Source organism: Homo sapiens, chromosome 4 (genome assembly GCF_000001405.40).
Source record: "Homo sapiens chromosome 4, GRCh38.p14 Primary Assembly".
NCBI classification, from domain to species: Eukaryota; Metazoa; Chordata; class Mammalia; order Primates; family Hominidae; genus Homo; species Homo sapiens.
In genome coordinates, this window is record NC_000004.12 from 121,492,570 (window position 1) to 121,515,946 (window position 23,377).

Consider the following 23,377-nt stretch of genomic DNA (forward strand, 5'->3'; position numbering starts at 1 on the left):
AATGCAAGAAAGTAATTGTAGAAGAAACTAACTCTTCCATCAAGCTTTGTATCATATTATACATCAGATAAGCTCATCAACTGTGAAAATTTTAAGCTTTATGCCTCCCTACTTGAAGGCTCTTTTGAACAACATCTGCTGGAGTTCTTCAACCAGTAAATAAAGTTATTATGCAGTCCATATTTTACCTTTTGTTCATAAAAATGATTCTTAAATTTTTTTTCATAAAATTCTTTCTTCAAGTTGAGATAGGCTACATGTCCAAATTAAAGACAAATAAAAATATATCAGCAATTATATTACATGTGAGTGAAATAAAACTGCAAGACAAAGTTTGTCAAGCTGGGTTAAAGAAAGCAAAACAAAATACTTCTTATACACCTAAAGTTGAAAGTAAAAGGATGGAAAATATATAAAACATTAACAAAAGGACAATTGCTAATACTGTATTAATGTAAGACTCAGTACAATATATTTAAAGTACTAATAGACACAAAATGATTAACTTAAAATGGTCAGTTCAACAGAATATTAAAATCTTAAGTTTGTATGCATAAAGTAGAATGATTCAAAAGGAAGAAATAAAACTTTTTATTGCAGATGCTGTAATTGTGCACTTGGAAAATTGAAAACAATCAACATATAAGTTTTTAAAACAAATACAGTAAATACATTTTGTGAGATCACTGGATGTATTGTCAATATACAGGAATCAATTATGGTGTGTGTGTGTGTGTGTGTGTGTGTGTGTGCAACAAACAAATACCAATTTAAGAAAAATACTGTTTTTAAGACCATCAAAAAGCACCAAACGCTAGGAGAAAAACTAATGAAAGTTGTGTATGAGCTCTACACTAACAACTATTAGCTATTACCAAGAAAAATTAAGAAAGACCTACATAGATGGATATGTTTAACATATTTATGGATTAGAAGAAACAATATTTAAATCTGTCAGTTCTCTCCAGATTAATCTGTAGCTTCAAAATAATTCCAATGGGGTGTGTGTGTTTGTGTGTGTGTGTGTGTGAAAATCAACAAAACAAGTATAAAATGTATATAAAAATGAAAAAACCCAGATTAATAAAGATGATCTTGAAGATCAAAGCTGGAGGTGTTACACTACTGGATTTTTAAGTCTTATAAAACTACATTAATTAAAACTGTGATTTTTGAAGCAAGTTTAGATAAATTAACCAAGGAATAGAAGAGAATTCAAATTGTATCCATACTTATAAGGCCATCTGAATTATGATAAAGATGTCATTGTAATGCAATGGGGAAAATTGGTTGTTTCAATAAACAGTGCTGCATCAGTTGAATACTAGGCCTTACTACTATTTCACTCTGTTCACAAAAATAAATTTCAGGTGGATTACAAATCTAAATATGAAATATAAGACAATAAGTCTTCTAAAATAAAATCTAGGAGGATGACTTCAAGAACTCAGGTTTGCAAAGATATCTTAAACAAAACACAGAGAGCCCTAACCACAAGAGAAAAGACTAGTAAGTTGAGTTTTGTTCAAATTAAGGAATTCTGTTCATTTACACACACTATTTAGGAAGTGAAAACATAAGCTACAGAGTGGGAAGACATAAATAATTTCTACAAAGCAATAAGTAAAATTAACCCAATTTTTTAAATGAGCAAAATACTTTACAAAGTAGTGTGATCAAATGACTAATAAGCATATGAAAAAGTGGTCAAAAACATTACATATGAGATGAAAATGCATTAAAACCTCTGTGAGATAATACTAGAAACCCATCACAATTAAAACCAATCAAAAGTAAAAGGTTTGACAACCCCGGGTTTGGGTGAGGGAGTAATTGGCTTTCTAATACTGCTGGAGGGAATGTAAATTAATACTTACTGCTTTGGAAAATTAGCATTAACAAACTGCTGTGACACACAACAACATGGATGAATCTCACAGATACTATGTTGAGCGAAAAATGTCAGACACCAAAAATCACAGATAGTATCATTCCATGCGTGTGCAGTTAAAAAGCAAGCAAAACTAACCTCCAGTAATAGTAGCTGGGATAGCATTTACTTTTTAAGGGTTACTGACTGGGAGACAGCAAAAGGAAGCTTTCTGCATAATGCTCTCCATTCACGGTCTGATTGGTGGAAATACTCATTTTTAAAATTCTTCTAGCTTTACTCTTAAGATTGATATACTTCATTGTATATATGGTATAGCCCAATTAAAATGTCTGTAAAAGTTATCTGTTGAAAAAATGGTTTGCTAGAAGACAAAATAATAAAATAACAAAAATAAATAAACCATTTGTAAAAGTTATCAAAGGAAAACAGAATGTTAATTTACTCTGGGTCATTTCTAATAATATAAATTGTCTTTTTAAGGTTTATAACATGATGTTTTAATACACACATACATAGGGAAATCATTACTATTGTCAAGCTTAATAACATTATACATTTCCTCACATAGTTACTATGTGTGTGTCTATATGTTCCATGAGAGCACCTGAAATCTAGTCCCCCAACAAATTTCCGGTATATAATACAGTATTATTAACTATAATCATTATGCTGCACATTAGTTCTCTAGACCTACATACCCTACATAATTGCAACTGTACCCTATGACCAATATATCTCCTCCACTTCCTCGCTTCTGGTACCATTTTTCTACTCTCTGTTGTTGCAAATGGCAGAATCTCTTTTTCTTTAAAAGGCTGAATAATATTTCTCTCTCTCTCTCTCTCTTTCTCTCTCTCTCTCTGTGTGTGTGTGTGTGTGTGTGTACCACAATTTCTTTTTTTAAAATTATGCTTTAAGTTCTGGGATACATATGCAGAACATGCAGGTTTGTTACATATGTATACACATACCATGGGTGGTGCCCATCAACCTGTCATCTACATGAGGTATTTCTCCTAATCCTATCCCTCCCCTAGCCCCCCGCCCCCTTACAGGCCCCAGTGTGTGATGTTCCCCTCCCTGTGTCCATGTGTTCTCATTGTTCAACTCCTACTTATGAGTGAGAACATGCAGTGTTTGGTTTTCTGTTCCTGTGTTAGTCTGCTGAGAATCATGGTTTCCAGCTTCATCCATGTCCCTGACAAGGACATAAATTCATCCTTTTTTATGGCTGCATAGTATTCCATGGTGTATATGTGCCACATTTTCTTTATCCAGTCTATCATTGGTGAGCATTTGGGTTGGTTCCAAGTCTTTGCTATTGTGAATAGTGCTGCAATAAACATACATGTGCATGTGTCTTTATAGTAGAATGATTTATAATCCTTTGGGTATATACCCAGCAATGCCATTGCTGGGTCAAATGGTATTTCTGGTTCTAGATCCTTGAGGAATCACCACACTGTCTTCCACAATGGTTGAACTAATTTACACTCTCACCAACAGTGTAAAAGCATTCCTATTTCTCCACATCCTCTCCAGCATCTGTTGTTTCCTGACTTTTTAATGATCACCATTCTAACTGGCAGGAGATGGTATCTCATTGTGGTTTTGATTTGCATTTCTCTAATGACCAGTGATGATGAGCTTTTTTTCCCATATACTTTTTGGCTGCATAAATGTCTTCTTTTGAAAAGGGTCTATTCATATCCTTCGCCCACTTTTTTTATGGGGTTGTTTGGTTTTTTTTTTTCCTGTAAATTTGTTTAAGTTCCTTGTAGATTCTGGATATTAGCCCTTTGTCAGATGGATAGATTGCAAAAATTTTCTCCCTTTCTATAGGTTGCCTGTTTACTCTGATGATAGTTTCTTTTGCTGTACAGAAGCTCTTTAGTTTAATTAGATCCCATTTGTCAATTTTGGCTTTTGTTGCCTTTGCTGTTGGTGTGTTAGACATGGGGCCTTTGCCCATGTCTATGTCCTGAATGGTATTGCCTAGGTTTTCTTCTAGGGTTTTTATGGTTTTAGGTCTTACATTAAGCCTTTAATTCATCTTGAGTTAATTCTTGTATGCAGTGTAAGGAAGGGGTCCAGTTTCAGTTTTCTGCATATGGCTAGCCAGTTTTCCCAACACCATTTATTAAATAGGGAATCCTTTCCTCATTGCTTGTTTTTCTCAGGTTTGTCAAAGATCAGATGGTTGTAGATGTGTGGTGTTATTTCTGAGGTCTCTGTTCTGTTCCATTGGTCTATATCTCTGTTTTCGTACCAATACCATGCTGTTTTGGTTACTGTAGCCTTGTAGTATAATTTGAAGTCAGGTAGCGTGATGCCTCCAGCTTTGTTCTTTTTGCTTAGAATTGTCTTGGCTATACAGGCTCTTTTTTGGTTCCATATGAAATTTAAAGTAGTTTTTTCTAATTCTGTGAAGAAAATCAGTGGTGGCTTGATGGGGATAGCACTGAGTCTGTAAATTACTTTGGGCAGTATGGCCATTTTCACAATATTGATTCTTTCTATCCATGAGTACGGAGTGTTTTTTCATTCATTTGTGTCCTCTCTTATTTCCTTGAGCAGTGGTTTGTAGTTCTCCTTAAAGAGGTCCTTCACATCCCTTGTAAGTTGTATTCCCAGGTATTTGATTCTCTTTGTAGCAATTGTGCATGGGAGTTCACTCATGATTTGGCTCTCTGTTTGTCTGTTATTGGTGTATAGGAATTCTTGTGATTTTTGCACATTGATTTTGTAGCCTGAGAATTTGCTGAAGTTGCGTATCAGCTTGAAGGAACTTTGGGGCTGAGACGATGGGATTTTCTAAATATACAATCATGTCATCTGCAACTAGAGACAATTTGACTTCCTGTCTTCCTATTTGAATACGCTTTGTTTCTTTCTCTTGCCTGATTGCCCTGGCCAGAACTTCCAATACTATGTTGAATAGGAGTGGTGACAGAGGCATCCATGTCTTGTGCCAGTTTTCAAAGGGCTTTTGCCCATACAGTATGATATTGGCTATAGGTTTATCATAAATAGCTCTTATTATTTTGAGATACATTCCATCAATACCTAGTTTATTGAGAGGTTTTAGCAGGAAGAAACTGAAGGAGATAGAGACACGAAAAACCCTTCAAAAAATCAATGAATCCAGGAGCTGTTTTTTTCAAAAGATTAACAAAATACATAGGCTCCTAGCCAGGCTAATAATGAAGAAAAGAGAGAAGAAGCAAATAGACACAATAAAAAATTATAAAGGTGATATCACCACTGATCCCACAGAAATTCAAACTACCATCAGAGAACACTATAAACAACTCCACAGAAATTAATTAGAAAATCTAGAAGATATGGATAAATTCCTGGACACATATACCCTCCCAAGACTAAACCAGGAAGAAGTCGAATCCTTGAATAAACCAATAACAGGTTCTGAAATTGAAGCAGTAATTAATAGCCCATCAACCAAAAAAAGCCCAGGACCAGACGGATTCACAGCCAAATTCTACCAGAGGTACAAAGAGAAGCTGGTACCATTCCTTCTGAAACTATTCCAATCAATAGAAAAAGAGGGAATCCTCCCTAACTCATTTTATGAGGCCAGCATCATCCTGATAGCCAAACCTGGCAGAGACACAACAAAAAAGAAAATTTCAAGCCAATATGCCTGATGAACATCGATGCAAAAATCGTCAATAAAATACTGGCAAACCAAATCCAGTAGCGCATCAAAAAGCTTATCCACCAAGATCAAGTCGGCTTCGTCCCTGGGATGCAAGGCTGGTTCAACATACACAAATCAATAAACATAATCCATCACATAAACAGAACCAAAGACAAAAACCATATGAATATCTCAATAGATGCAGAAAAGGTCTTCGATAAAATTCAACACAATTTCTTCTTTATCCAGTCATCCAGCATTGAACACTTACGTTGTTTCCATATATTGGCTATTGTGACTAATACTGCAATGAACATGGAAGTGCAGGTATCTCTTCAAGATACTGATTTTACTTTCTTTGGCTATATACCCAGAAAAGGGATTGCTGGATCATATAGTAGTTCTACTCCAGTTTTTTTAGAAACCTTCATATTATTTTCTATAATGCCTGCACCAATTTACATTCCTGCCAACAGTGTACAAGGGTTCCTTTTTCCTCCACATCCTCGCCAACACTTATCTTTTATCTTTTTGATAGTAGCCATCCTAACAGGCAGGAGATGATATCTCATTGTGCTTTTGATTTGCATTTCCCTGATGATCAGTTATGTTAAGCACCTATTGGCCGTTTGTATGTCTATTTTTGGAAAATGTCTATTTAGGTCTTTTGCCCGTTTTTAAATCAGATTGTTTTTTTAGCTATTGAGTTTGAGGAGTTCCTTATATATTTTGAACATTAATCCCTTATGAGACATATGGTTTGCAAATATGTTCTCCTACTCAATTGGGCTGCCTTTTCATTTTATTGATTGCTTCCTTTGCCATGCAGATGCTTTTTAATTTGATATGGTCCCACTTGTTTGTTTTTTTTTGTTGCCTGAGTTTTTTGTGTCATATTCATGAAATCATTGGAAAAATCAATGTCATAGAGCTTTTCTCTTATGTTTTTATTTAGAAGTTTTATCGTTTTAGGTCTTACATTTAAGTTTTTAATTCATTTTGAGTTGATTTTCTTATATGGTTTAAGATAAGAATCCAATTTCATTCTTTTGCATGTGGATATACAATTTTCCCAACACCATTTATCAAAGAAACTATCCTTTCCCCCTTATGTATTCTTGGCACCCTTGTTGAAAATTAGTTAACCTTATATGCTTAGGTTTATTTCTGTGCTGTCTATTCTGTTTCACTCGTCTGTGTGTCTGTTTTTATGCCACTTTTGATTTGATTATTATAGCTTTGTAATGTAATTTTAAATAGGAATTGTAATGCTTCCAACTTTGTTCTTCTTTCTCAAGATTGCTTTGGCTATTTGGGGTCTTTTGTGGTTCCATATGAATTTTGGAATTCTTTTATATTTCTATTAAAAATGCCAGTGGAATTTTGATAGAGTTTGTGTCAAATCTGTCAGTACAGGTTACTTTTATTTTCTTCTTTCTAGTTTTTCATAATTTCCAATTTTTTCCATTAAGCATATATTTAGTGTGCATTAATAAAACAACAGTTATTTATAACAACAAAAACAAATTCATTCTTTTATCATGAATCCATAGAAGTCTTAAAGTCATTTGGCAGTAAACACAATGTATCAATTTAAATATTAAAGAGCTCACATTTCATTTTATAACACAATAATTTTTAGACCATATCAGTACATATTGCTGTTACAATAGACTAGAGATGATCAGTTCTCCTAGGTCAATATAAGGATGACTACAGCATTACGTTTTCTTCCTTCCATGGACTTATTGTCTAGATGGCTTAGTGTTTTCCTTTCACACATGTTTGTTTTGTAAGTCTTTGCTGCCAGGATTTTAGTATTCTTAGCAATTAAGTGCAGAGGTTCCTGAACCAGACTATGTATATTCAGATTCTCCATCCACCACTTAATAAGCATGACCTTAGGAAAATTACATAGCATCTCTGTTGTTAAGTGTACTTATAAATAAAATGAAGAGGAAAACAGTAATAGTTTCCTCATTAAATGTCTAGATGCAAAGAGCATAAAATGGTACCCAGCACATATAAGCACTTGATAAATGTTATCCATTATTGTTAACTTGGATTTCTAACTTTCCCCCTACACCGAGGACCACTTTTGTTGCTTTGATTGAAGCTTTGCAATTTGTCATGCAGAGCCTCATTTTACTGTGAATCAAATTTTCCATGTGAAAGATGCCTCAGGTGTTTGAAATGTCAGCCAACTTCAGTAACTGCTCACATTCCATTATCATCCACCTCCTCTTTTTGTCACACAGTCAGGCTAACTCTCAGATGTGGTTTATCATCCTAATAAATACACAAGGTTTATTTTCTAGCACACATGGGTTTTGTCAATAGTAACTTCTAAACTTTCAATTGTAATTAGTAACTCTTGAGCTACTGCTTCATTATGACTTTCATTTTAAATGGCACTAAGATGCTGAATAAAGTGGAATCTTGAGATCTTTTTATTCACATGTTTAAAGATATGAATTGAGGTCCTCTTATGTTCCAGGTAATTTACTAGTCACCAAGGTTCCAGCAATGAATCAGAAAAACAGGCTTTGGGAAATTTTGATTGTGGGGAGGAATATAGGAACAAATAAACAATTAAATGGGGGTTGGGGGGAAGTGTTGTGATAAGAGAAGTAAAGGAATGATAAGGTAATACAGAGAGCAAATCTTTCTTGGAAGCCAATCCTACTCTTAAGCTCAGACAAAAGGGGCCATTGCTCTGGGCTCTGTGCCTTAAATGGCTGTAGGTATTAATCACACACACACAAACCAATTCACTAAAGAACACATAGGTTCCCACTGAATACAATTACTTTTTCTGTTTTAATCTTTTAGATCAGAGATCAGCAAAAAATGACCAATGAAACAAATCCATCCCAACACCTGTTTTTGTTAAAGCGTTAAGGGAACACAGCCAGGCCAGTTTGTTTACATAGTTTATGAATGCTTTCACTCTACAATGACAAGGTTGAGTAGTTGCAACAGAGACCTTTGTCCCACCAGGCTTAAAATACTTACTTTTTGCCTCTTTATAAAAGTTTACCTGTATCTGCTTCAGATTCTTTAGAATGAAAACAAGTCTATCTTCCATGTCTAAAATCTTCTTCATAATAATTTTATCATTTTTCCATTTCACTTAACATGATTTCCTCAAGCCTGTCTTTCATAAATCTGACTTTTTAAAATGCTTTTCTCACCTTTCTACAAAGTACCAATCATCACCAACTCCCATCTCCGTTGTTTCAGCTCAGCCATCTCAAACATCCAAATCACCCACTAGAGCTAAACTACATCCCCAATGCAGGGATAGCAGGAGAAAGGGGTTGAACAGGAGGCTGAATCTTCCTAATCCACTCCAGGGCCTGCAGCTGGGTGGATTGAAAGCTCCCCTAGCCAATTTCGCAGTAGATTTTAGTTTGGGAAACTTGGACACTCAAATTACCCTGGTGAATAGTAATAAGTAGTAAGTGGTTACGGCTAAATTGTTTTTATTTTCAACTTCAGTCACCAGGGTTTGACACCCTTCCACTTCAAGGTGCTGAGTATAACCCTTATGTTCATCAAAGCTAAACACTTGAAAAAAAATTATTTTGATCATTTTAGACTTACAGAAAACTTGCAAAGATAGTACAGACAGCCCCTGTATACTTTTTATCTGGCTTCCCATGATGTTAATATCTCACATAACCATGTACAGTAACCAAAATTAAGAAATTAAGATTGGCTCAACAAATACTATTGACTAAATTACAGACTATTGATTTTATCCTGATATTTCCACTAATGTCTTCTGTTCCAGGATTCAAGTCAGGATACTGCACTGCATTTAGGTGTCATGCCTCCTTGGTCTCCTTCAATCTACTGCAGTTCATCAGTTTTTCTTTGTTATTCATTACCTTGACACTTTAGGAGAATAGTGGTTTAGGTGTTTCGTAGAATGTCCTTTAGTTTGGTTTTGTCTAATGTTTTCTCATAATTACTCTGAAGTTATGGATTTGGGGTACTGAATATCAATATGTGTTATGCTGGTGATGTTGGCCTTGATCACTTGGGTAAGGTAATGTCTGCCAGACCTGTGCACTGTAATGTTACCATTTCCCCTTTCCATACTCTGCCCTTTGGAAGTGAGTTACTAAGTCCAGCCGTTGGAGTTATTAAATCCGATCCATGGATATTAAGCTTCATTTCCTAGAGGGAGGAGTGTTTAAGAATTTGTAGACATGTTAAAACTACCACAATTATCAATAAATATTTGATGGCAGATATTTTGGGGCAATGTGAATATCCTGTTCCCCCTTAAAGTCTTACTCACTAATTTTAGCATTCATCAGTGGGTCTTGCCTGAAGCAGTTACAACTGTTGTGCTCTAATGGTGATGTTCTATTTTCCACATTCCTTCTCCATCTAGAATTGGAATTCTTCTGTTAGGAAAAATTGTTGCTTTTTCTTCCTCCCTTCCCCCCCTTTTCTCCCTCCCTCCCTCCTTCCCTCCCTCCCTCCCTCCCCCTCCTTCCTTCCCTCCCTCCCTCCCTTCCTTCCTTTTCTCCCTCCCTCCTTCCCTCCCTTCCTCCCTCCCTCCCTCCCTCCTTCCCTCCCTTCCTCCCTCCCTCCCTCCTTCCCTCCCTTCCTCCCTCCTTCCCTCCCTCCCTTCCTCCCTCCTTCCCTCCCTCCCTTCCTTCCTTCCTTCCCTCCCTCCCTCTTTCTCTTTCCCTCCTTTTTTCCTTCTTTCTGTTCTATATGGACTCATGGAGGTTTTTGTATTATACATAGAAATTATAGACATCAACACCACTTTTACATATACACATGAATGTATACCTAGACACACATACATATGTAATATTGGAGTTCATTTGCTACATATGCATGCATATGTGTATATACATGTTCACACATGTAATATGGAGGCAGATGAATGATAAGCCAACTCCCAGTTATCTATCATTATCCACTGTTTTATCCAACATGTTTTTCATCTGAGAATAGCTTCTTTTTATATTTTTATTTCAATAGTTTTGGGGGTACAGGTGGTTTTTGGTTACATGGATAAGTTCTTTAGTGGTGATTTCTGAGATTTTAATGCACCTGTCACCCAAGCAGTACAGTCTGTACTCAATATATAGTCTTTTATCCCTCAATACCTCCCAACCTTCCCTCCTGGTTCCCCAAAGTCCACTAAATCATTCTTGTGCCTTTGGTTCTTCATAGCTTAGCTCTGACCTATTATAAGGAAAGTGAGAACATATGATATTTGGTTTTCCATTCCTGAGTTATTTCACTTTGAATAATGACCTCCTGCTCCAACCAAGTTGCTGCCAAAAAACATTATTTCATTACTTATTATGGCTGAGTAGTATTCCATGGTGTATATATACATTTTCTTTATGCACTCATTGGTTGATGGGCACTTAGTTTGGTTCCATATTTTTGCAGTTGTGAATTGTGCTGCTATAAACATGCATGCCCATATGTCTTTTTTATATAATGACTTATTTTCCTTTGGGTAGTTACCCAGTAGTGGGATTGCTGGATCAAATGGTAGTTCCACTTTTAGTTCTTTTAGTAATCTCCACACTGTTTCCCATAATGGTTGTACTAATTTACATTTCCACCAGCAGTGTGAAAGTGTTCCCTTTCACCACATCCACACCAACATCTATTATTTTTTGACTTTTTAATTATGGTCATTCTTGCAGGAGTAAGGTGGTATCTCATTGTGGTTTTAATTTGCATTTCCCTGATGATTATTAATGTTGAGCACTTTTTCATATATTTGTTGGCCATTTGTGTATCTTCTTTGGAGAATTGTCTATTCATCTCCTTAGCCCACTTTTTGATGGGATTTCTTCTTCTTCTCGCTGATTTGAGTACCTTGTAGACTCTGGATATTAGTATTTGGTCAGATGTATATATTGCAAAGATTTTCTCCCGCTCTGTGGGTTGTCTGTTTACTCTGCTGATTATGTATTTTGCTGTGCAGAAGCTTTAGTTTAATTAAGTCCCGTCTGTTTATCTTTGTTTTTATCGTGTTTGCTTTTGGGTTCTTGGTCATGAAGTCTTTTCCTAAGCCAATATCTAGAAAGGTTTTTCCAATGTTATATTCTAGAATTTTTATGATTTCAGGTCTTGAGTTGATTTTGTATAAGGTGACAGATGAAGATCCAGTTTCAGTCTTCTACATGTGGCTTGCCAATTATCCCAGTACCATTGTTGAATAGGGTGTCCTTTCCCCACTTTCGGTTTTTGTTTGCTTTGTAAAAGATCAGTTGGCTGTAAGCATTTGGCTTTATTTCTGGCTTCTCTATTCTGTTCCATTGTTTTACATGCCTATTTTTATGCCAGTACCATGCTGTTTTGGTAGCTATAGTATATTGCAGTATAATTTGAAGTCGGGTAATGTGATGCCTCCAAATTTGTTCTTTTTGCTTAGTCTTACTTTGGCTATGTGGGCTCTTTTTTGGTTTCATATAAATTGTAGGTTTGTTTTTTCTAGTTATGTGAGGAATAATGATGGTATTTTGATGGGAATCTCATTTAATCTGTAGATTGCTTTGGGCAGTATGGTCATTTTCACAATAGTGAAATTTGACTTCTATGTTGTCTTTCATATGACATTTATTTTTATCATTTTTTCTGTTTTTCTTTACTTGGTTTCAAGCAAGTCATCTTTCATTTCCTTTTATTGTTGTATAATCTCCATTTTATAACTCTTTTTATTTGAACACTTCTTATGCTTCTTTGACTCATTACTTGTGTAATATATATGTGCATATAGTCTTCATCTTCATTTTGATTATGTTCTCTCCACTAAAGTTTTTTTTAGTGTCCATGCTTAGGTCACCCTTCTTTGTATCACTGATATTTGAGGGTAACTGTCTATGTGCTAATGACCTTTTATGGGCACCAATAGTGGTGTGTAGTTGGCAGCAACAACTCAAATCTATTGTCTCAAACTCCCTCTCACCAAATTGGTTATTTCGTTTCTCTAGAGTCACATGTTCCTATAGTTTGCACTTTTTACTTCTCCAAAGTTCCTTGAAAAGCACTTAGTTCACAGGATTTCTGTGATACTGATTTATTACTACCTCCTCCCTGTCTCTTTCAGTTCACCATTCTTCATCTAGCCAGCTAGGTCACAAATAATAGAAAAGGAATGTATCAAAGTTTTACTTCAGAAACATATCTTTCAGTGTTCTCCACTGTTAGTATTGCTGTTCCCAAAACCTTCTCCATATGTATCCAAAGTAGTGTTTCTAAATTTAAATATTACCTGCTTAAAACCCTTACAGGGTTCCTTGAAGTCCTCAAGAAATGAGCCATAGAAAAGTATTCAAAGATAAGGTATAAATAATTTTAAAAAGTAACATAATTACTATTGAGACATTCCTGGTGACATAATTAAATTTCAAGAGTAAAGAAAAATTTATATGGTCATCTAGACAAAAAGGGAAGTCAAGAAAGAATTGGGACTCAGATTTGCCTCTGTTATAGCTGCTGCAAAGGACAGCAAAGCAATAGTTACAGGGTTTTAAAGAATAGAGAGTGACCCCTGTAATTTAATCCAGTTAAGTTGTCCTTCAAGTACAAATGCAATTGACATTCTGAAGCAATAAAGAATTTGTAGACAAAATTCAGCCAACCAAGGGATACAAATAAAAAGATCAGAGGAATCACAGCAAAAGACTGATGTTGAGTGTTTAAGTGACTCAAATATATGACTAAATTACACAAATGGGAGAATTATGGAGATAAGACAGAATGTAAACGTTACAAACTTTTAAACTGACAGTTAATAAATGACAGTTTGTAATGTAATAAAAATGAGATGGATGAGATGAGAATTGGAAGTATAAATGTACCAATTTCTTCAACTTTATAGCAGTATCAACAACCACAACTCAAAGTTGAGTAGTATAGTTAAAAATAATTATTCAAGCATCAAAGTTATCTATTAATCATTTTCCCTTAATAAGAAGGATATCGCAAAAACTACAATCACTTATAGTCAGAAGCTATCTAAAGTTTTTCATTAACCATAGTCATTATGTTATAACAACAGATCACTTGAACTTATTCCTCCTGTCTAACTTATATATCCTTTGACCAACATCTCCCTAACTCTTCTTTCCCCCATCCATCCCAGCCTCTGATAACCATCATTCTACTCTATAATTCTATGTGATCAACTTTTTTACATTCTGCATATGAGTGAGATTATGAAGTTATTTGTCTTTCTGTGCCTGGCTTATTTTCCTTAACATAATGTCTTCCAGTTTCATCCATGTTGGGATAAATTGCAGGATCTTCTTTTCTGTGGCTGAATAGTCTTGTATTGTGTATGTATGTGTGTGTGTGCATGTGTGGTTGAATACTAGTCTAGTGTGTGTGTGTGGCTGAGTAGTATTCTTGTGTGTGTGTGTGTCTGAATAGTATTCTAGTGTATGTATGTATGTGTTGCTGAATAGTATTCGTGTGTGTCTGTGTGTGTGTGTGTCTCTGAATAGTATTCGTGTGTGTGTGGCTGAATAGTGTTTGTGTGTGTGTGTGTGTGTGTGTGTCACATTTTCTATATCCATCCACCCATCCATGGACTCTTAGGTTGATTTCATATCTTGGCTATCGTGAATAATGCTGCAATAAATGTGAAAGTGCAGGTCTCTTTGACATGTTGATTTCATTTCCTTTGGATATATACCCACTAGTGGGATTGCTGTATCATATGGTAGTCCCATTTTTAATTTTTCTGAGGAACTGCCATATTATTTTACATAATGACTGTATTCTTAAAAAATGCTTAAAAAGTGGATATTAAGTGTTCTTGCCACAAAAATGATAAATATTTGAGGTAATTTATATATATGAGGTAATACGCGTTTGTTAATTAGCAAGATTTAACCATTCCACAATAAGTAAAAAATTGTATATGTCAGTTTAAAATTTTTAATTTGCAAAAAAATAGTTTATCAGTTCCTTGAGTTTTATTTCTTTCTATGCAAGTAACAAAGTTTAATACTTCTTAGTAAAAATAAAATAATATAAATTATAAATGTTTTTTAAATGAACTAGTCTGTGTGTGTGTGCATGTGTGTGTGTGTGTGTATTCATATAAGTCCCCTCACAGATGTCTAAAATGACAGTCACTGAATTTTGCTAAAAGATATATGAAGTTGGTCAGATTTGGAAATTATTATTTTGCCCTCAACTCCACACTTCTCTGTATTGCTTGTTTATAACCTTCTTTTATAATATTTCTCATTTGTAAAATCATTTTTATAAAATGATAGGATCATAATTTTGTAAAAGAAAGAGAAAAAACATTAATAGGTAAGAAAAGAAGAAATTAAATTGTCAGAAATATAAAATGCTGTCAATAAATAAATTAATATAATAATCTAAAAATATTCACCATATTTAGTAATAAGGAGGTCATGATGACATGAGAAAAGTTCCTATGGAAGGGAGGGTGCAAGAACTAACCTGAAATGGACAGAGGAATACAATCCTGTGTCACTTAACAATGGGAATACATACTGAAGAAATGTGTCCTTAGGTAATTTTGGTTTTGTGCAAACATCATAGAGTGTACGTGCACAAACCTAAATGATACAGCTTACTACACACCTAGGCTACATGGTATATAGCATATTGCTCCTAGGCTACAAACCTATATGTTACTATACTCAATACTATGGGAAATTATAACACAATGGTATTTTTATCTAAACTTAGAAAAGACACAGTGAAAATACAGTTTAAAAAATTAAAAGATGATACGCCTGTATAGGGAAACTAACATGAATGAAGTTTGCAGAACTGGAAGTTTCTCTGGATGTGTCAGTGAGTAAGTGGTGAGTGAATCAAGGCCTAGGACATCATATTACTATAGAATTTATAAGCACTATACCTTTATGATATACTACATTTATTTTTAAAACAAAGTAATTACACTATGCCATTATGACGGCTACCATGTCACTAGATGATAGGAATTTTTCAGCTCCATTATAATCTTATGAGACCACTGTCACTTATGTTTTCTGTCACTGGCTGAAATGTCATTATACAGCACATGACTGTAAATGGAAGATGAGGAACAGAGGTAGTGGTGGAGAGTGTGTTAAACTTTTCACATGTTACACCTTAAGATGTTAAGTTACACCATATGATCTTAAAGTAATTCATTATCTTAAACTTTTAATTTTCTGAGTAAAAAAAGATACCTGCATTTTTGAACATTTACTTTTAATAGTGCTACATTAAATACTATTTCAACCTATTCATCCACTGTATTCAATATGTAGTAGAGTTACAATTCTCTTTCAGGAGTCTGTAATTTCCTAGGCATTGTATTATGCATATTTACAGTAGCACTTGTATCCCTAAGGCAATTATATCATAAACTAATCTTTGTAGTTTTCTCACTGTTTGCTAAAGGCTATTTCTAATCCTTATCTTCATATTTGGCTATAGTTTTGCCCTTATTTGTCAATCTAGTAACTCTAAGAAAGATTATTAGAGGTTCAATTGTCATGACATTCTGTTAGTACATATAGCATAGTAAGTAAAATATTTTACTTATTTGTGTCTAGAAGCCTCAAATATTTGTCTAATAATCAGTCCTGGAATATAGCATAATACATATTAAGCTTATTGATCTATAGCAGTCTTCTGTTATAGTAAGCCCTTTTTGAAAATTAAAAGAAATATTTTTTTCTATCTTTTCACATCTACATTCATGAATTCTAAAATATTTTACCCAAGGACTATGAAATTATATTTAGCAGAGTCATTGTTGATCCAAGCATTTGTGTCTCTACACTGAAGAAACTAGGATAATGTTTAGAAAAGTTTTACATTAATTTCACACATTTCACAGATTTGCAGGCAAATTAGGAGGTATTATAACATATTAAGTCTTACAAAATTTATCTTATTTTCTGTAACTCTAATTTTTTACACTTTTTTCTGCCATTTTTAATTTGAATTTTCTGATTTTCTATAAAAGATAAAATCAACACTTCATTCAAGCAATTATCATGTTTTACTGAGCATTGGGAAAAAATTATATTTTTAAAATATTTGAAGAGTAATGATATGGTTTGGCTTTGTGTCCCCACTCAGATCTCATCTCAAATTGTAATCCCCCAATTCAGATCCTGCTCCTGCTTTGTATGAGCTGCAAACCAGGAGCCACTGACTTCACCTCTCGGAGGCTCCAGTTACTCATCTGTAAAGCAGAAGCAGCAGCATCTACCTCACAGGGTTGTTAAGGGGATCACCACTTGACACCAAAGGTGAAAACATGGTCTGTGAGTGGCAAAGCCATTTTACAGTCAGCCAGTTCTGCATTACTGTGATGGGAACACCAGCCCTTCACAAACTGCACTTTCTGCTCAGCATCTAAATAGAAAGTCACCCTGTGAACCTACGTGCTGTCTCCTCTCTCCCCTCATAGTCCCAGCAGAGCTTCCAGGAGGGGGGTCATTGAATCTGGCTGTCTGTATTTCCTCCTCTCCCACTCACCTGGGACTCTCCTCTGGTTAGGGGCACTGATGGCCCCCACATTGCTGCTGTCTTTATCATCCTTGACTTTGGCTGTATTAGACCAGCTGGCCATGCCCTATGGCCTGAAACTTACCCTCCTCTGCTCCTTCCAGGTGACATGCTCCTGGTGTCCTCCACTGCTCAGGCCACCCTTTTGCAGCCTCCTTTCTAGGCCCCTCCCTTGTCTCTCTTCTGATGCTCCACACTCATGGCTGGGTTCCACGAGGGAGCCCAGGCCATTTCCACTGCTCTATCCCCTCTCCTAAGCACCAGAACTTGCAATCAGCCTGTTCCCACCTAGAGACCCCCACTTAGATGTCATCCCCAAGCTCAGCTGTCCATAGCTGGCCGCTCCTCTTATCTGGCCAGTCGTGTCACTTCTCCTGTGTAAGCAGCCCATGAATCTCATCAGTGATCTGGTGTGAGCTTTGATCACCTACCAAGACCAGTCCCTGATCCTGCTTTTCTCCCTCCATCTCTTGCTTTCTATGTATCTGAGTCTCAGATGGTGGCTACATAATCTCTCACCTGGAAGTTGCCACCTGCTCTTAGCAACCAAGCTAGGCTTTCTAAAATACAAGTCACTGCTCTGCCTAAAACTCATCTGGGTTTCCAGTGACCCTCAAGATAAAGTCCAATGTCTTTCCCTTGTGTTCAAAGCACACCCACTTTGGCCCCTGCCTGTGCCTCTAAGCTTCTCCTTTCCCAGCCTCCTCACCCCTCACACTATCCTTTACTGCTGCCAGACCAGGGCTTTTCCTGATCTTATGCCATTACTTGGCCTGTGGCTTTCCTCTCAGACCTCACCACCACTGTGACTGTGTATTGATGCGGGTGTAGGTTAGCTCCACAGGGCAGGGGAATCCCAGTGCTCAGCATGGGGCCTGGCACATAGCAGATACTTAATAAATGACAATGGTGGTTTTACAACCAATCCCCCAGAAATATAGAAGATTCTCAGAGGCTATTAGGAACATTTCTATGCACACAAACTAGAAAATCTAGAGGAAATGAATAAATTCCTAGAAACACACAACCTCTCAGGATGTGTAAGGAAGAAACTGATACCCTGAACAGACCCATATTGATTTCTGAAGTTGATTCAGTAATAACAAAACCTACCAACCAAAAAAGCCCTGAACCACATAATTTCACATCCAGACTCTACCGGATGTGCAAAGAAGAGCTGTTACCAATTCTACTGAAACTATTAAAAATAATCAAGGAGGTGGGACTCCTCCCTAACTTAATCTATGAAGCCAGCACCACTCTGATACCAAAATCTGGCAAAGACACAACTAAAAATACAAGCCAATATCCCTGATGAACGTAGATGCAAAAACCCTCAACAAAATACTTGCAAACCAAATGCAGCTGCAAATCAAAAGGTTAATTCACCACAATCAAGTAGGCTTTATTCCTGGGATACAGGACTGTTCCAACATATGCAAATTAATAATTGTGATTCACCACATAAATAGAATTTTTAAAAAGCCATCCGATCATCTCAATAGATGCAGTAAAAGCTTTTTAAATATAAAATCTAGCATCTCTTCATGATAAAAATCCTCAACAAACTAGGCATTGAAGGAACATACCTCAAAAGAATAAAAGCCATCTATGACAATCCCACAGCCAACATCATGCTGAATAGGCAAAAGGTGGAAGCATTTTTCTTAAGAACAGAAAGAAGAAAAGTATTCCCACTCTTATGACTCCCAGTCAACATAGTACTGAAAGTCCTAGCCAGAGCAATTCGGACAAGAGAAATAAATAAAATGCATCTAAATATGAAAAGAAAAAGTCAGATTATCTCTCTTCACTGATGATATAATTCTATACCTAGAAAACCCTAAAGACTCCTCCAAAAGGCTCCTAGAACTGATAAATAACTTCACTAAAGTTTTAGGATTTGAAATCAGTGTACAAAAATCAGTAACATTTTCATACACCAATAATATTCAAGCTGAGACTCAAATAAAGAATGCAATCCCATTTACAGTAGCCACAAAAAGAAAAAAAGAATATACTTTGGAATACATTTAACCAAGGAGGAAAACAATCTCTACAAGGAGAACTACAAAACACTGCTGAAAGAAATCGGAGATGATACAAACAAATGGAAAAATACCCCATGCTCATGGATTGAAAGAATCAATACTGTTAAAATGGCTATACTGCCCAAAACAATCTACAGATTCAACACTGTTCCTGCCAAACTACCAACATCATTTTTCACAAAACTAAAAAAAAAATGCATCCCAAAGTTCTCATGGAACCAAAAAAGAACCTAAAAAGCCAAAGCAATTCTATACAAGAAAAACAAAGCCAGAGACATCACACTACCCAACTTCAAGCTACAATACATTACAGTAACCAAAATACCATGGTACTAATACAAAAACAGACACATAGACTAATAGAACAGAATAAAGAATCCAGCAATAAAGCCACACACCTACAGCCATCTGATTGAAACAAAGTTGACAAAAATAAGCAAGGGGGAAAAGCTCCCTATTCAATAAACGATGCTGGGATAGCTAGATAGCCACATACAGAAGAATAAAACTGGACTCCTACTTTTCACCATATACAAAAATTAATTGAATATGGATTAAAGACCTCGAACTATAGAAATCCTAGAACAAAACCTAGGAAAAACCATTGTAGACATCAGCCTTGGCAAAGAGTTTATGACTAAGTCCCTAAAAGCAATGGCAACAAAAACAAAATTGATAAGTGGGACCTGATTAAACTAAAGAGCTCCTGCACAGCAAAAGAAACTTCAACAGAGTAAACAGACAAACTTCAGAATGGGAGAATATATTGCAAACTATGTGTATTAGTCAGGGCTCTCTAGAGGGATGGAACTAATGGAATATATATATATATGTGTATATATATATATATATATATATATATATGTAAAGGGGAGTTTATTAAGTATTAATTCACATGATCACAAGTTCCCACAATAGGGCATCTGCAGGCTGAGGAGGAAGGAGAGCCAGTCCGAGTTGCAGAACTGAAGAACTTGGAGTCCAATGTTCAAGAGCAGCAAGCATCCAGCACAGGAGAAAGATGTAAGCTGGGAGGCTAGGCCAGTTTCTCTTTTCATATTTTTCTGCCTGCTTATGTTCTACCATGCTGGCAGCTAACTAGAATTGTGCCCACCCAGATTAAGGGTGGGTCTGCCTTTGACTCAAACGTTAATCTCATTTGGCAACACCCTCACAGACACGCCCACGATCAATACTTTGTATCCTTCAATCCAATCAAGTTGACACTCAGTTTTAACAATCAAAAGTCCATTCTTGTCAACTTGAACCCATACACATTTTCTGAGATCATACGTAATTTTCAAATAAAGACAATAATAAGGTCATAATTATGCCTAACATAATACAACTGTCCTATGTACAACTGGAAATGCACCAATCCCCAACCTAGTAACTATTACATAAATTTAACAATACTTGAATTGCAGTCAATAAATCTTATGTCATATTATAAAGGAAAAAGGAAATAAAGTGAAGATATGTTCTTACTACAAATGTATACATGCACAAACACGTTTTTAACAAAAGAAGGAGGGAATACTTATGACAATTACAGTCCTCATTTCTGCAGCTGGTCACATGGTCATAGTTGGTATTGATGACTATCTTCTTCTACTACCCATTCTGTATTCCCTTTGCCTTCAGCAAGCACCTCAGCAGCTCATGGTTTTTTTTCCAAGTGGAGTGACCAAAACCTTCATTCCTGTAGGGTCTGGGTCATTTGTAGTCCTGCCTGGATTGGGCTGTTGTAGTTTCCCATTGACCTTAATCACAGGGCATGGTAATACTAAGAGATGCCCTAATGGATCTCCTGTACTCCATGAATACTCTTTCTTACCTCCATTATGGAGTAGTAGACTGATTTCATCTTGATAGTCTGGGTCAGTCACCCCAGCCAACACTGTAACTCCCTTCTTAGCCTGTTGACTTAAAGCTAGGAGGAACCCAAAGTGTCCAGGTGGCAATCTTAACTTCCAGTTTAATGGAATAATTGTTGTGATTCCTGGTAGCAGCGTTCCTCCCTCTGGAACTAAGACCTCTAGGCCAGCAGAATGTAATGTCATGGGAACAAAAAGCAAAAATTTTGCTAGTGGATCACTAGAGGTGATGGTGAGTGGTGCCACTTCCACTTCCATCCCTTGATTCCTAGACCAGTGAATCCTGGCTATAGGAGAAACAATATCATATATTGGATGTTGATCCAGAGCATACACAACCTTCTAGAGAACTTTGCCCCAGCCCTGCAAAGTATTGTCACCTAGTTGGAATTGTAATTGTGACTTCAAAGGCCATTCCACCATTCTACCAATCCAGCTGCTTTATGATGATGGGGAACATGGAAAGACCAGTGAATTCCATGAGCATGAGCCCACTGCCTCACTACTTTAGCTGTAAAGTGAGTGCCTTGGTCAGAGGCAACACTGTGTGGAATACCATGATGGTGGATAAGGCATTCCATGAGCCCACAGATGGTAGTCTTGGCAGAAGCATTGTGTGCAGGATAGGCAAACCCATATCCAGAGTAAGCGTCTATTCAGGCGAGGACAAACCTCTGCCCTTTCAATGATGGAAGGTTTTGGCCTCCCTCTCCCTGTGCAAACTGGTAAAAGGCCTTGGGATTTTTGAGCTATCCTTACCCGCCTCCCTACTTGTTTGATTTTGATACATGTTTTCTAATAACCTGGTTTTTCTCTTTTCACCTTCAGGCCAGCAAACTCCACACAGTCATGCAACCAGAGCCTCAGACAATGGCCCCTTCTGCTGAGGACCCTTAAATAAGCTTCTGAGGGAGACTGCCGTTTTCCCAAAACAGCGCCCCCTGTCAGCAGGAAGCAGTTAAGATCAGTCTTCGTCCTTATCCTTATCCTTATTCTAATGGCAGTTAGATGTACTTCTTCAGAGTGGCAGAATTAGGTAGCCAAGTAAGAAGCGCCCCCTGGCAGAACCTCTGACCAGCTTGCCCACTGGGAGGAGTGCGCACTGGGGTGGAACGTTGGAAAGTTCACACCATTTGCATGGGGGAGGAGCCTGGCCTCTCCTGATGTGGGGCGGTAACCTGGGATTCAATCTGTGAGGTGGGAAGCCAGCTAGCGAGACTCTCACTTCGCCGAGTGTCTCTGTTTCCCTTTTTTCCTTTTCACCCAATAAATTCCATTTTTCTCACCCTTCAAATTGTCTGCGGGGCTAATCTTTGATGGTCAAGTGACAAGAACCTGGCTTTTAGCTGAACTAAGGAGAAAGTCCTACAACAAACATTAGGATAGTGCTGAGGGGAAATGTGGGGTTGGAGCCCCCACACAGTCCCCACCAGGGCACTATCTAGTGAAGCTGTGGCAATGGGGCCACTGCCTCAATAGCTAAGAATGGTAGAGCCATCAGTAGCTCGCACCCTGAGCCTGGAAAAGCCGCAGTCACTCAAAGCCAACATGTGAGACCAGCCACAGGGGCTGACCTGTGAAAAGTCACAGAGGCAGAGCTGCCCAAGGCCTTGTGAGCCCACCCTTTGTACCAGTGTGCCCTGGATGCAGAACATGGAGTTAACAAGATTATTTTGGACATTAAGTTTGAATGTTTGCCCTGCTGTGTTTCAGACTTGCATGGAGCCTGTTGCACCTTCCTTTTGGCCAATTTCTCCCTTTTGGAATGGGAATGTTGACCCAATGATACTATTATACAATGATACTATTGTATTTTGGAAGTAAATAACTTGTTTTTGATCTGACAGGCTCATAGGTGGAAGGAACTTACCCTGAGTCTCAAGTGAGGCTTTAGACTTTTGAGTTAATGCTGAAATGATTAAGACTTTGGGGGACTATTGCAAAGGGATGATGCATATTGCAATGTGAGGAGGACATAAGATTTGGGGGGCCAGAGGTTAAATGATATAGTTTGGATGTTTGTCCCCTCCAAATCTCATGCTGAAATATAATCCCCAATGTTGGAGGTGGGGCCTGGTGGGAGGTGTTTGGATCATGGGGGTGGATTCTCATGAATGTTTTGATGCCATCCTCACAATAATCAGTGAGTTCTCCCTCTATGAGTTCACACCAGATCTGGTTATTTAAAAGAGCCTGGAACTTCCTCTTCACTCTCTTGCTTCCTCTCCCACCATGTGATACACAGCATCCCCCTTCGCCTTCTGCCATGATTGTAAGCTTCCTGAGGCCCTTACCAGAAGCAGATGCTGGTGCCACACTTTCTGTACAACCTGCTGAGCTATGAGCC

The 23,377-nt window shown here is 37.0% G+C and overlaps 1 long non-coding RNA gene across 1 annotated transcript in view; it reads left to right on the plus strand.

Moving 5' to 3' along the window:
- The window catches only part of LOC107986309 (uncharacterized), a 123,175-nt gene extending 100,133 nt beyond the window's left edge, over positions 1 to 23,042 (plus strand). Inside the window, exon 3 of the long non-coding RNA XR_001741806.2 lies at positions 21,859 to 23,042. This is a non-coding gene — a long non-coding RNA (uncharacterized LOC107986309). The remainder of the gene's footprint in view (positions 1 to 21,858) is intronic.
- Positions 23,043 to 23,377: the final 335 nt, after the last annotated feature.